A 13,305-nucleotide genomic window follows, 5' to 3' on the forward strand; every position below is an offset into this window, starting at 1 on the left:
AATGGATCTGTCCCACCTCTTGGCCCTCTGGTGCCATCCTGGGCTTCACTGCTGCTGGACATGCTGTTCTTCCCCTTCACAGACTACTTCCTTTCAGTCACCTTTTCAGTTTCTTCTCCATCCCCCACCCATGGCCTCCAACTCTGCAGCCCTCTGCTCTCCTCTCTCTGTCTTGTCTCCAGAGTTCCATCTTCTCACCCGACCTGGACCATTACTCCCATTCCCACAGGCACTGCAGCTTTTTTTCAGAACTGAAAGTTTAAATTCCCCCTTTATCCTTCTCCTTCTTCCCCTACAACCAAAAAGAAATAAAATAGCTCTCTGATTCACTCCCTGCTCCTTTTTGCCTGTGGTCACTGTAATTCGAGGCTTGGCCACTCATACTGGATCACTCTATACCTGTCATCTGGATCTCTCTTCTTCCAGATCATCCTGGGGCCTGTCAGGCCAATCTTCTAAGAACAAAATGTCAATCCTGATGAAGTCTAGCAATATTTAGAAGCCACATTCCAAACCAGAGGGTGAGGAATTTCATGCATCAAGAGGGCCTGCCATTCTCACCCCATTCCTCCCTTCTGACTCCAGCTCAGCCTGTGCCGCCATCTCCCTCACCTGGATGACAGCTACAGCTTGCTGGCCCCTCCCCTACTCAGCACACAGGTGTTGATACAACCACATCACTCCTTCAGTTAAAACCCTTCAGGGACTTCTCATCGCTCATGAAGCAAAATCCAAATTTCTTACAAGGCCCCAAAAATGCCTCATACTACACATTACGTCACCTCCTTTCTCACTATGCTCTGGCCACACTGGCTTCTGCCATTCCTCTCACAGGACAAGCCCTCTCCTGCCTCTAGACCTTTGCACTTGCTGTTTCCTCTCTCCCTGGTGTGCTCTGCCCTCAGCTCTCTGCACATTTGGTTCCTTCTCATTCTTTGGGGCCCAGTCAAGTTGCTTATTCAGAGAGGCCTTACCTGACCATTCTTTTACAATCTGTGATTACTATTTGTCTATTTGTTAAAGTCTCTCTCCCACCACTAGCAGATAAGCTGTGTGAGGGTGAGGATGTTGTTTGCAAAGCTGCTGTATAAAGCTGCTGTATAAAGCCACTGTGTAGACTACAGTGTGAAGGAATTCCCCAGGGTTGTGTGACCCAGTGGCCCTGCCTGGCTGTTTTGTTCACAATAATATTCGCAGTGCTTGGCATGCAGTAGATGCTTGATACATATGTACTGAATGAATGATTCACTAATGCTGTAAGTTTGGAATATAGAAAATCAGGAGAGAGGCTTGGATACCCACCAAACTATAGCATTGACATTTAACCCCCATAGTACTGCCAGGACAGTGTGACTAAGCTCCTACCCTGGTTTCCCTATTGGCCATTTCCCCTAAACCTGGTCTGGTAGAGGGGCCTCAGACATGCCGCCCAGCTTTTGCCAGTTCCTCCCTCCCTGGAGGCTGGACCCAGTTTCCTATACCATATTTCTTATCTTGGGTGACTATAAAAGATAAAAATGTGAGGCCTGGGCCCAGGCACGGTGGCTCATGCCTGTAATTCCAGCACTTTGGGAGGCCGAGGCTGGTGGATCATTTGAGATCAGGAGTTCAAGACCAGCCTGGCCAATATGGTGAAACCCTGTCTCTACTAAAAAATACAAAAATTAGCCAGGCATGGTGGTGGGCACCTGTAGTCCCAGCTACTCAGAAGGCTGAGTCAGGAGAATCGCTTGAACCCAGGAGGTGGAGGCTACAGTGAGCCAAGATGGCGCCATTGCACTCCAGCCTGGGTGGCAGAGAGAGACTCCAACTCAAAAAAAAAGTGAGGCTTGGGCTTCAGCAAATATTTCTATGATGTTCCCCTCAGTTCTGAAGGGAAGCCCCCTAGTATCTGCCTTCTAAAACAGAACCTTTGTGAATATGTGATTCCAAGGACAGGGTTTCTTATTAATAATCAAAGTAAAGCCAAGTCATTTATATTACCAGGCAAGTATCGAGAGTGCTTCAAATAGTGCTGCTTGGCTGCAGATCTCAGGGTGGGCGTGTCTCGCCGCTGATATGACGTCTGGGTGGGGGCACTGTTTCCTGTGCCCACAGGCTCAGAGGGCTTCAGGTCCAAAACACTCTCAAACCTGAATGAAGAGAGCATGGCTTGGGTCAGCACGAGAGACAGTATGTATTCTCGGATATGTACCCATAATCTCATGAATTCCAGATTCAGTCTGTTTACAAATGTGAGCAGCACACTTGCCTGCAGAGAGTGTCATCACTCTGTCTTTTCTTGTTTTTCAGGTCAATCCTGCTGAGGGATGGACTGAAATCCAAGTCATCCAAGTCAGCCCAATCATCTGAATCCTTTGTTGACCTGGAAATAAGACCCCACCTTCTCCTACTCTTTGGCTTTATCTCACCATTTTTGTGCTCCAGGCCAGCTGTGATTTTCTGTGTAAACAAACGGGGTGGGGGAAAGCAATACTTGGCATTAACAGAACTCATCCATGAGTAATCTCCATCTGAACTTTCTCTGCTATGCAAAGGAGGCTCCTGGGGCATAACATTGCTTATCTGAAGGGGCAACTGTAGAAAACACATTCCCAATCTTTCTGTCTCACTCATCCTTCACAGATTGTATCAGCTGCCATCCATTGATGATGTTAAAGTTGTATAAAATAAGGATAAAAAAATTTTTAAGATACTTCTTACACACCAGGAAGATGGCTAAATTCATACTCAGTCTCATCCTAGATGAGTTAATATGATCTCTGTTATAAATATGGATGTAAGAAATTAAGGCTAAGATGTCAGTTAGCCTGTCCTTTTACAGAAATCAATGCAAATAATGCTTTTTTTTGCCTTCTCAGTATATATAGTTACTATCTCTTAGCTATAAAGAATTAGCTACAACAGGACATTTCCATACACATACCACTTCTAAATTGTGTGCTGCAATAAAGTGACTAGGCCAGAGATACCACCCTTGCATCTCACATTGTGGTGGTTGGGAGCCAGCAGTCAGCAAATACTAACTGACACAGAAAGTGCCACTTTTTCATAAAGGATAGACAGTTGGCCTCTTCAGACAGCACTGCAAAGCTAATAAAAAATAGAACCCCTTGTCAGGTTATTATTTTACTAAATCTAACACTCATTTTTTTCTTTTGAAAAGCAGCCAAAGAGGAGCAGAAAGATCTGGGCTCAGTTAATAGCCCAGCATTAACATATTGAATAACAGCAGTAATGTGGATAACAATCTACAAATATTAACACAGCGCTTTATGCTTTTCAAAATATCTTAAAAACATCATGGCCTTTGATCCTCATGAACAACCCTGTCTGGTAGGTAAGACATGCACTATAATCTTCCTTTGATAAATGAGGAAACTGAATCCATAGGGATTAATAACAATTACTGACCTTTACAGAGTTGTAACTAGGTGCCAGGTATTATTCTAAATTCTTTTCAAGTATTAACTCATTAGTCCTCAAAGCAATTGTATCAGGTAAGTACTATTATTATCCTTATTTTACAGATGAGGAAAATGAGGAGCAGAGAAGCCAGATAACTTGCATAGGTATCAAGCTACTAAACAGCAGAGCTGAGATTTGAGCCCCTGGCAGTCTGGCTGCAGAGGCCAGCTCCCAGCCACTACCCTATAGCTGCCTCCATTAGTGACAACGGTTTTAACAGGCACAGCCAGAACTTGAATTTAGATCTTTCACTCCAAAGCCAAGGGTCTTTACAATTCCATGCTGTTGCAAACATAAATCTACCATAACTGGACCCTGTATACTGAAAAAGAAAATATTTCACACAATAATGGGGTCAGAAGAGGAATAAACAGACACGAAGCTCACTGGTGAATCTGGGCTGCTCACCGACTGTGGATGCTTGTTGTGGAGGGATGGGAAAAGCAACGGGCTTGGCTTGTCCTCCTGGAGATGGCTTGGGTGATCTGTCCTGGAGACCTCTGCTTTGTAGGGGTACGTGAGATGCAGAGGGGGCTGGCTGGCTTGATGCTGTCGTGAAGAAATTCGTGTGTGTGGCTTGGCTGGTGGCTGGGCAGGTGGGACTGGCTTAATATAAGGAGGTGGGCCTGCCTTTTCCAGGATGCCTTTCTGTGGTTTTTCTGAATCCTGAAGGTTTTGTGTGGTGCTGCCTAGTGGGTGTCCAACTTGGAAGTAAGGATATCGAAGTGCCTGGAATGACAAATAAGGCTTTAGGAGAAAAGTCTAGCCAGGAAAGTTACCACTGTCTTGATTACTGGGCTATATTTCATTGTGACCAGTTTACTACTGTTTCTTAGCCCAATTAGAAAACAGTACCTTGAATTTTTAACACCCCTTGTGATTTTTCTTATCTAAGATACCATAAAATATATGTAATGATTGCAACACAAAGTTATTTATATATAGTAGCCAGTTACACTGCTGTTACCCTGGCTACTTCTAAAAAGCATTCTGGATCAACACAGATCCTGGTTTTGTAACTTATTTGCTATGTGTCTTAAATAGAGTATTTCATCCTTCCAAGCCTATTTCCTCATTCCACAGAAGAAGAAAAAAATAATACAAAACTGAAAGAGCCAAACATAATGATCCTGGAAGACTCTGAAGAATTGAGTACAAAATAAGCAGGCACATATGCTTTTATCCCAAAAGTGCCAAGAGTGTAATACATGATATAGTTAACCCTTCCCTATCAAGAACAAAACCGTGTCAGTTGTTCTGGATAACTGAGTTTTCTGGATAGCCAAGAGATAACTTAAAGTTTAGGGGGTTACAATTCTTTCTGAAATATTTCCTATATTCTCTTGTCTTTCTGAATGAAAGTTATTAAGCATAACATAATCTTTCTGAGTAGGCCTGGGACAGTTATAAACATCTGTAATGATTATATGCAAGTGTAGATACAGAGGCAATTAATGGGAATAGCCTGGTAGAGGTCCCAGACTCTAGCATCTATTATAACTTGAAAGCCTTCTCTGTAGTCACAGACATTTTTGCAAGTCTTAACTGATTTGGGGGGTATTTTTAGCTTTTCACACTATTCTTAAAAGCATACATTCCTCTCTTGCTTCCTTGTTACAGAATCTTTTTCTTTCCATTTCTTACATGCATCTGTTAAAAAACTGGGTTCATCCAAAAGCTTCTTTTCTGCCCTGCAGCCATTTGTGAATTTCACCACCAGAACTGCATTCCTGAGAGCTTTCCAGCCCTTGAGCCATCCAAAGTCTTACGGCACCAAATTGTAGTTCTTTTTTCCTTGAGCTTTCAGAAAATTGCTTTTCTACACTCCTTAATTATTCCTCCAACTATCATCTCCCCAGCTATCACAAATTCTACCACCACATTGGCACTTTTCTTCAAATATCCTCATCACTCTTCTTCTGAACATCTTCTCTGATTAGAATTGGTCACTTATATGATCCTCTGAGCAATGTAATTGTCAGTGAGACAAGTTGAGAAGGGGCCAGATGTAACTACCACAAAAGGAGGCTTGCAAGATGCCTGTGAGTGATAAGAGCCCCCAGCGTTACCATACCTCTTTTGGGTATATTTCATTATTTAAGTCTAAGTGGCCCATGGGAGGATGGATTGGGAAAGGAGCTATGAAACCAGTGGACCTGACTTCATACTTCCGGTCAGTTGGTTGAATTGTAGTTAGTTGCACTATTTGAACTAATTAATGGATGAGTGATTAGAGCAAATTGCTTAAACTTTCCAAGATTGAGTTTTCTCACTCACAGAATTGAAAACAATAATGCCTGTCTCATGGAGTCTTTATTGGATTAAAAATCATATAAAATATATTCAAGCATTTGCACACTGTAAAGTGCTATGAAATACTAAGTGCAGTTACTATCCTAGGTCTATCTCATCTGTCAATCTCTTCAGGTTATGAGTCAGTTGGACTTTTACATAATATGAAGTTGCCTTTCAACAACCAGTACCGGCTTATAAACAAACTACTATATAATTGTAACTCATAGAGAATAGATTTGAAAACATTCTCCAAAGACAGATAAATATATGTTTATTTCCATTTCCATATAAATGGTGATATATCATGTGAATTACATGCCAATTTTCAAAGCAACTATATTGTTTACATTGTAACTACTTTATACCCAGTAAGTTTCAAACTATTTTAAGTTCTCATACCTTATATAGTACACCATTAGTGGTATTCTGTACTATTTCTCACCCATAATACTAAATACTAAATATTTCCTGTGCAATTCATAGAAATTATTCAGAGTTAGATATGAACGTTATAACAAGAAAATGGAAGAAAACCTGACTAGCTGTTGGTCGTTTCTTGGGATCCCACTGAAGCATGTCTCTCAGGAGCTGGACTGCTTCACTGCTAGCATTGGGAATCAAGGTCTTTAAGTTATTGGGTACACACTGTGGCCAACGGAAGTTCATTGCACTTGAAAGTTGATAGCCTTCAGGCCAGTCAGTCTGAAAGAAGGAAAAGATAGAAAATCTTGCTCAGCCAATTGCTGTGATATAAGTTTGTATTCTGGCATGTGTGCCCCAAATGGAAAGGCAACCATGTCATTACCCACCCACATTCATTAACCACCCACATTCACTACTGTGGCACTGTATGGAATGAGACATAGATTTAGATTAATAGAGAGACCACCAAGACCATGAAATCTGGGGGAATAGTGGAAAAGACACTGGATTTGCCAACTTAATTATCTTTACATAAGAGATTCTCTTGAGATTTTGGGATTGAAACAAATTAATATTTCCCCAACTGTGTTCCATGAGACAGAGGTTCTGAAAACTGCCAATGAGATATTCTTTTGGGGAAAACAAAATAAAACAAAACATTTTGTTCCTGGACAAATAAATTTGTGAAACTCTACCTACAGTATCTTCAACTTGGTGATTGAAAGTATACATGTGGAGAAAACCAGCAGTAAAGAAAGGTGTTTCACCCAGTCTCAAGCTTTCCACTTTTTCATGCATCATTTCTATGGGACACTAAATGCTGGAGGGAATGATGGAAAATGCTAAAGAAATGGTCTTTAAGGTTCCTTCTAGTTCTAACACTCTACTATTTTATAACATACAGCCTAAGGTAATTGTTCCTCCACTCCTTTTTAAAGCCAAGTGGCAATACATATAGCTTTTATCGTTCATTCACTTGACAGTTCTGGAATGCCTACTATATGCTTAGTGTTGTTGGAGATCCAAAAATGATCCAATATAAATCCTGCGCTTAAGAGTATTACTGTTCTTAAAAGAGAAAAGAGCATTTATTTAAAAATGGTATAATGCAGAGTAAAAACTGACAAAAGCTGCAAGAGATGTGCAGGTACAGATATGCAGAGGAGAAAGATTCCAGCATTGGACTCAGGAAACTTTCTTGAAGAGGTGGCATTAATAATTCATTCAAATGATTAAAAAATTTTTTTGAGGATCTAGTTTGCACCAGCAATGGTGCTGGGACCTGGGAAAATAAACATACAGCAAATCCTTGTCCTGAGTGAGCTTATGGTCTAGGAAACAACTATGTACGCAAATAATAATATTAATAACATAGGACACAGCTGAAGATGGGGAGGAGATTAGAGAAACAGTGAGGAGGGGGATTACTGACGGCCATGTGACAGATATCACTCAGGCAGAGGGTGTTATGTGCAGAGCACAGAAGCAGGGAAATTTCAGGGCATGCAGCTGTTAGGTGTATAGGTATGAAGTGAGCGATAGGAATAGGAGTTATGAGGCTGGGCAATGGGGAGTCAACCAATACTTTTATGAGGGGAAGTCAGTACCAGAGCTGTTCTTTAGGAAGCTGAATCTGGCCACAGACTGAACAAGAAGCCAGAGTGAAAATACTTCAAGGCAGAAAGATGGGGAAGATGACATTAGACACAGGGGGGTGACTGTGGTCCAGTCTGTAATGGCAGCAGTGGACTTGAAGGAACAAGAGCCATGTGGCAATATTCAACAGGATTTACCCACCAACCGCTTAGATGAAGGGAAAGGGGAGCAAGAGAAAGACAGAAGGTAAAGCTGAAATTCAGCCTCAAGGTGGGGGCTCTGGGATTATGATCAGACCACAAATGAAAATGGAGAATGAAAGAAGGAAGCTAGTAGGGTGTTAAACAAAAGGCAATGATGAGTTTGAGGTGATGGTGAGGGAGTCAGGAGAAAATCCCATAGAGCGTTGTAAACATGTGAGTGTAGTAATAATGGAGGGAGGCAGCGGCTAAGGATTACATTCAGGAGACTTCTGAACAGGCGTAGGAGTTGTAGCAATGAGAACTGAGAAGTTCTGCAAGGGAGGTGAGATGATACAGAGAGGAAGGCAGAAGGAGCCATGACAGATGTCATACTTAAGAACAGGAGGAGGAAGAGAAGCCGACCGTATCTGAGAACGTGGGCAGTGGAGAATGACTGAGGTCAAGAGAAAGAGCCTAGAATGGGCAGGTGCTCAATCATGCCAGTGCTGAACAGGGCTGAGCGGAGGAAGCATGGGAAGCTGTTGGCTTTGGCCCACTGGCCTTTGTTTTGTATCATTACCTTTTTTGGTGTCCCCAGCACTTGGCAAATTTTGAATATTGTGTCAATTTCACTGGCTCCAGGGAAGAGTGGCCTGAGGGTGTAAACTTCTGCCATGATGCAGCCCACCGCCCAGACGTCAATGGGGGAGCTGTAGTTGGTAGACCTCAGGAGTACTTCTGGAGCCCTGTACCTGGAGGAACAAAGGTTAACTGCTAGCTATTGCTTCCACCACTCAGACATTAAATTAAATAACAATCAGTTCTCAGTGAGGGGGTGTATATGTTCCTATTTTCTCTCTAGTTCACTGTGGTGTAATGGAATTGTGAGAACTTGGCAACTGCCGTGGGCTGCTGTTGACAAGTAGTGCTTCTCTAGTTCACAATATTTTCTACTGAGCATTTCTCTACAGGAGACTTCTCTATGGCATCTTTGAGAAACACAGAGAAAGTAAGAATTAGGAAAAAAGAGAGAAAAGAGAAAGTGGAAGGGAAAAACTAAGAGAGAAAGGAAGAGGGAGGAAAAAACCTACAACTTGTGTGTAGACTACTTGGTCATGGCAAACTGCTTAAATCAAATTCCCAGTGTCTCAAAGTTTTCACAATAGCAATTAGATGGTTCTCAGACAGGTCTTTGCAGAATATTTTACATAATTCTTTTGTTAAGCTGTCCTCAGGAAGGCCTATATATAAAATTTTATTTACATTATAGAAAAGCATAATAGGTTTTCTTTTAACATGATTTAGAACACAAGATTTTTAACCTTGTACATTACCAACATATCTATAAATATATGTTTCAGACTGCACTGTTTCTCTTAGTGAAAAGTTAACATTTGTGACTTTAATATTATCCTTAGCATAATGATATCTTTTTAAAGAAGTGCAATTAAATAATTTTGAGAAAAATGGTATTCACCATCTGGTAGATACATAATCTGTATATGGAGGTTTTGATCGTATTTCTCGGGCCAAACCAAAGTCTGCAATTTTCACAAGTTCTGGTCCCATGCAGAGGAGGTTCTCAGGCTTTAAGTCTCGATGAAAGAAGCCTATAGAGACAGTAGAGGAGAAGAAATCCAAATGCAAGTTTGCTTCGTATTATTCTTTGCAATTGTATTGCTCTCTGCAAAATAGTTATAATTTAAAAAGTAGTCTGGCATGGCACCAAAGGCTTTATGCATTCATCCCACAGATAATGTAGAGTCCTTCGAACTTCTCATAGGATTACTACATTCATTTCCCTTTGCAAATCATTCAAAGGTGTTCTTCATAATTTTTTTTAACTAGAGAGAAAATTTCTTTTAAAATATCAAACTGGATTATAGGCTGAGATAACTTTGCAAAAATAAACTGTCACTCAAGGGAAAAATATCACTGACGGCATCTCATTCTATTGCCTAGGTTGGAGTGCAGTGGCACAATCATAGTTCGCTGCAGTCTGGGCTCAAGTGATCCTCCTGTCTCAGCCTTCCAAGTAGCTGGGACTACTGGCACAAACCATGGTGCCTGGCTAGTTTTTTTGTTTTTTTTTTTTTTGTTTTTGTAAAGATAGGGTCTTGCTCTGTTGCCCAGGCTTGTCTTGAACTCTTGGCTTCAAGCTATCCTCCTGCCTCAGCCTCCCAAAGTATTGGGATTATAAGTGTGAGCCACCATGCCCGGCCCAGATAACTGTCTGATGGGAATTGAGAGTTTATACCACAGCAGAAACACAATTATAATTTTTGTTTAAGAAATAATTTATGAATATGACCTACTCATATCTGAGATTGTGGTGTATGTTGCAACATATGTTTAAATGTTAAGTACTTATTACTTTGCCTAGTGAGGAAGTACAATGGTACATTTGCAGCTCACATGAAAGGCAAAGATAACTCATTACGTAGGAAGCCTGTCTCAGCTATAGCAGAGCTCTGGAGGTACAGGCAGGAGATAGTCAACATGGCAATCTTCCAAGCTCACTCAAACGCCCAGTGAATTGCAATATATGTCTCTGAAAACCCCAAACCTCCCACTTCCTGAGAGTATCACCAACCTAGACATCATTTAATGTGGCTCCAAATCTCAATGGGACACCAATACTGGAAATACAACTCAGCTGCTGCTGATGCTATTATTTGTTACACATTATCATTGCTATCATTACAGGCTGAGTATTCCCTACTCTGAAAATTCAAAATCTGAGATGCTCCAAAACCTGAAACTTTTTGAGCACCAACCTGACACATAAAGAAATTGCTTACTGCAGCATTTTGGATTTCGGATTTTTGGGTTAGGGATGTTCAACTGGTAAAATATAATGTAAATATTCCAAAATCTGAAAAAATCCAAATTCAGAAACACTGCTGGACCCAAGCATTTCAAGTAAGAGATACTCAATCTGTATCAATGTTGTGAAAGCTGGATTCTAACTAGCACATTATGGGAGAAATTAATAGCCATCACTGAAGATCTACACGATTCCTTGACAACCTGTATGTTGACAACGCTCAAGTCTACATTTCTAATGTGCCTTCTCTACCCTTCTGAAGACATAAATCTCTATTTGGACAGCAACTGGATGTCACTATCATCCCTATGTTAACTTATCCAAAACCACTTTTGTCCTCTCCCAAATCATCTCCCCTTCCTAACCTTTGGATAAGATTTCTAGGTACCTTGCAGTTATGTTGGATCCATCCTTACCCAGTTATGAGATTGTGTCGTATTTTCTATCAAAACATCTCATATCAGCTAGGCGCGGTGGCTCACGCCTGTAATCCCAACACTTTGGGAGGCCGAGGCGGGCGGATCACTTGAAGGTCAGGAGTTCGAGACCAGCCTGGCCAATATGGTGAAACACCATCTCTACTAAAAATATTTTAAAAATTAGCCGGGCGTGGTGGCACATGCCTGTAATTCCAGCTACTCGGGAGGCTGAGGTGGGAGAATTGCTTGAACCTGCGAGGTGGAGGTTGCAGTGAGCTGAGATCACACCACTGCACTCCAGCCCAGGCAACAAAGCAAGACTTCGTTTTGGAGCGGCGCGGGGGGGTTGGGGGGGTAAATCTCATATCTGTCTCTTTCTACTTTCTCACTGCCTATGCCTGCATTGCCACTTTCTTGCAGACCTTCCTTGCTCCAGCTTCTCTCCTATAATCCTGACCACTTAAACACTATCTTTCCCTTGTCACTCTCTCATTCACCCACAAAAACCATCCATGACTCCTTTTTATATTAAACAGGGCTGAACTCCTTTCACTCTACCTAAAGAGAGAAACTTATTTTCCAACACTTATCAATACATGTAAAGTGTGCTCCAATCAGGTGCAACTCCTCATTCTTTGTAAGTTCACTGTACAGTCATGCACTGCATAACGAAGTTTCAATTAATGATGGACTGCATATATGATGGTGGTCTTATTATAATGAAGCTGAAAAATCCTTATCTAGTATTCACTATACTATACTTTTAATCATTATTTTAGAATTGTACTCCTTCTACTTACTAAAAAAAAAAAAAAAGTTAACTGTAAAACAGCCTGAGGCAGGTCCTTCAGGAGGTACCTAGAAGGCTTTGTTATCATGGGAGATGACAGCTCCCTGCGTATTATTGCACCTCAAAACCTTCCAGTGGGACAAGATGTGGAGGTGGAAGGCAATGATACTCATGATCCTAACCCTGTGTAGGCCTAGGCTAATGTGTGTATTTGTGTCTTAGTTTTTAGCAAAAAAGTTAAAAAAGTAATAATAATAATTTAAGAACAGTAAAAGCTTATAGAATAGGGATATAAAGAAAATATTTTTGTATAGCCATATGTGTTAAGCCAAATGTTATTATAAAAGAGTCAAAAAGTTAAAAAAAGTATAAGTTTATGAAATAAAAAGTTTCAGCAAGCTAAGATTAATTATTGAAGAAAGAAATTTTAAAAATTTAGTGTATCCTTGGTGTACAGTGTTTATAAAGTGTCCTAGACCTTCATACTCACTCACTGATTCACCCAGAGCCATTTCCTGCAAGCTCCATTCACAGTAAGTGCCCTATACAGGTGTACCATTTTTAAAAAAATTTTTTATACTATATTTTTACTGTACCTTTTCTATGTTTAGATACACAAATACTTACCATTGTGTTACAATTGCCTATAGTATTCAGTACAGTAACATGCTGTAGAGGCTTACAGTCTAGGAACAACAGGCTATACCATATAGTCCAGCTATGTAATAGGCTATACCATCTAGGTGTGTCTAAGTAAGTGTACTCTATGATGTTTGCACAACAACAAAATTGTCTAACAACACATTTCTCAGAACATATCCAGTCATCAAGTGATATGTAACTGTACTTATTTCCATTAATAATGTGCCCTTTACTCCTTTTTGTCTACATCAATCCCAACTTTTGCCATCCTCCAACACCTGTTTTGAGTTTCGCTTCTTCCATTATGCCATTCTAACATGGTAGCCTTCATTCATTCATTCATTCATTCTACCAACACATTTTCACTGAGCATCTGCTCCATGCCAGGCAACAGATTAGGTTCTAAGGATTCAGAAACAATGCAATGGACATGACTCTTGCCCTCATGGACATAATAGGCCCTCCCCTCTAACTCCAGTTGAGCTCTATCAACTTCAGGTATGTTAACCATTTTTTTTTTTTTTGAGACGGAGTCTTGCTCTGTTGCCCAGGCTAGAGTGCAGTGGCACAATCTCAGCTCACTGCCAGCTCTGCCTCCTGGGTTCACGCCATTCTCCTGCCTCAGCCTCCTGAGTAGCTAGGACTACAGGCGCCTGCCACCAC

The 13,305-nt window shown here is 41.0% G+C and overlaps 1 protein-coding gene across 9 annotated transcripts in view; it reads right to left on the reverse strand.

Moving 5' to 3' along the window:
- CILK1 (ciliogenesis associated kinase 1) overlaps nt 1-13,305 on the reverse strand; it is a 60,522-nt gene that overhangs the window by 8,483 nt on the left and 38,734 nt on the right. For 8 of the 9 annotated variants that reach the window (NR_164684.1, NM_014920.5, NM_001375400.1 and 5 more), the window contains 6 exons: nt 9,442-9,574; nt 8,545-8,716; nt 6,298-6,465; nt 3,877-4,197; nt 2,252-2,442; nt 1,984-2,132 (listed from right to left, as the gene is read on the reverse strand). Coding sequence is in view for 8 of the 9 variants with exons in the window: in NM_014920.5 (NP_055735.1) it covers nt 1,984-2,132; nt 2,252-2,442; nt 3,877-4,197; nt 6,298-6,465; nt 8,545-8,716; nt 9,442-9,574 (1,134 nt within the window). In the remaining variant the exon portion in view is untranslated. Of the gene's footprint in view, nt 1-1,983; nt 2,133-2,251; nt 2,443-3,855; nt 4,198-6,297; nt 6,466-8,544; nt 8,717-9,441; nt 9,575-13,305 lie in introns of all 9 variants that reach the window. The other variant, NM_001375397.1, reaches the window with a different exon arrangement.

This window comes from Homo sapiens, chromosome 6 (assembly GCF_000001405.40).
Source record: "Homo sapiens chromosome 6, GRCh38.p14 Primary Assembly".
NCBI lineage: Eukaryota > Metazoa > Chordata > Mammalia > Primates > Hominidae > Homo > Homo sapiens.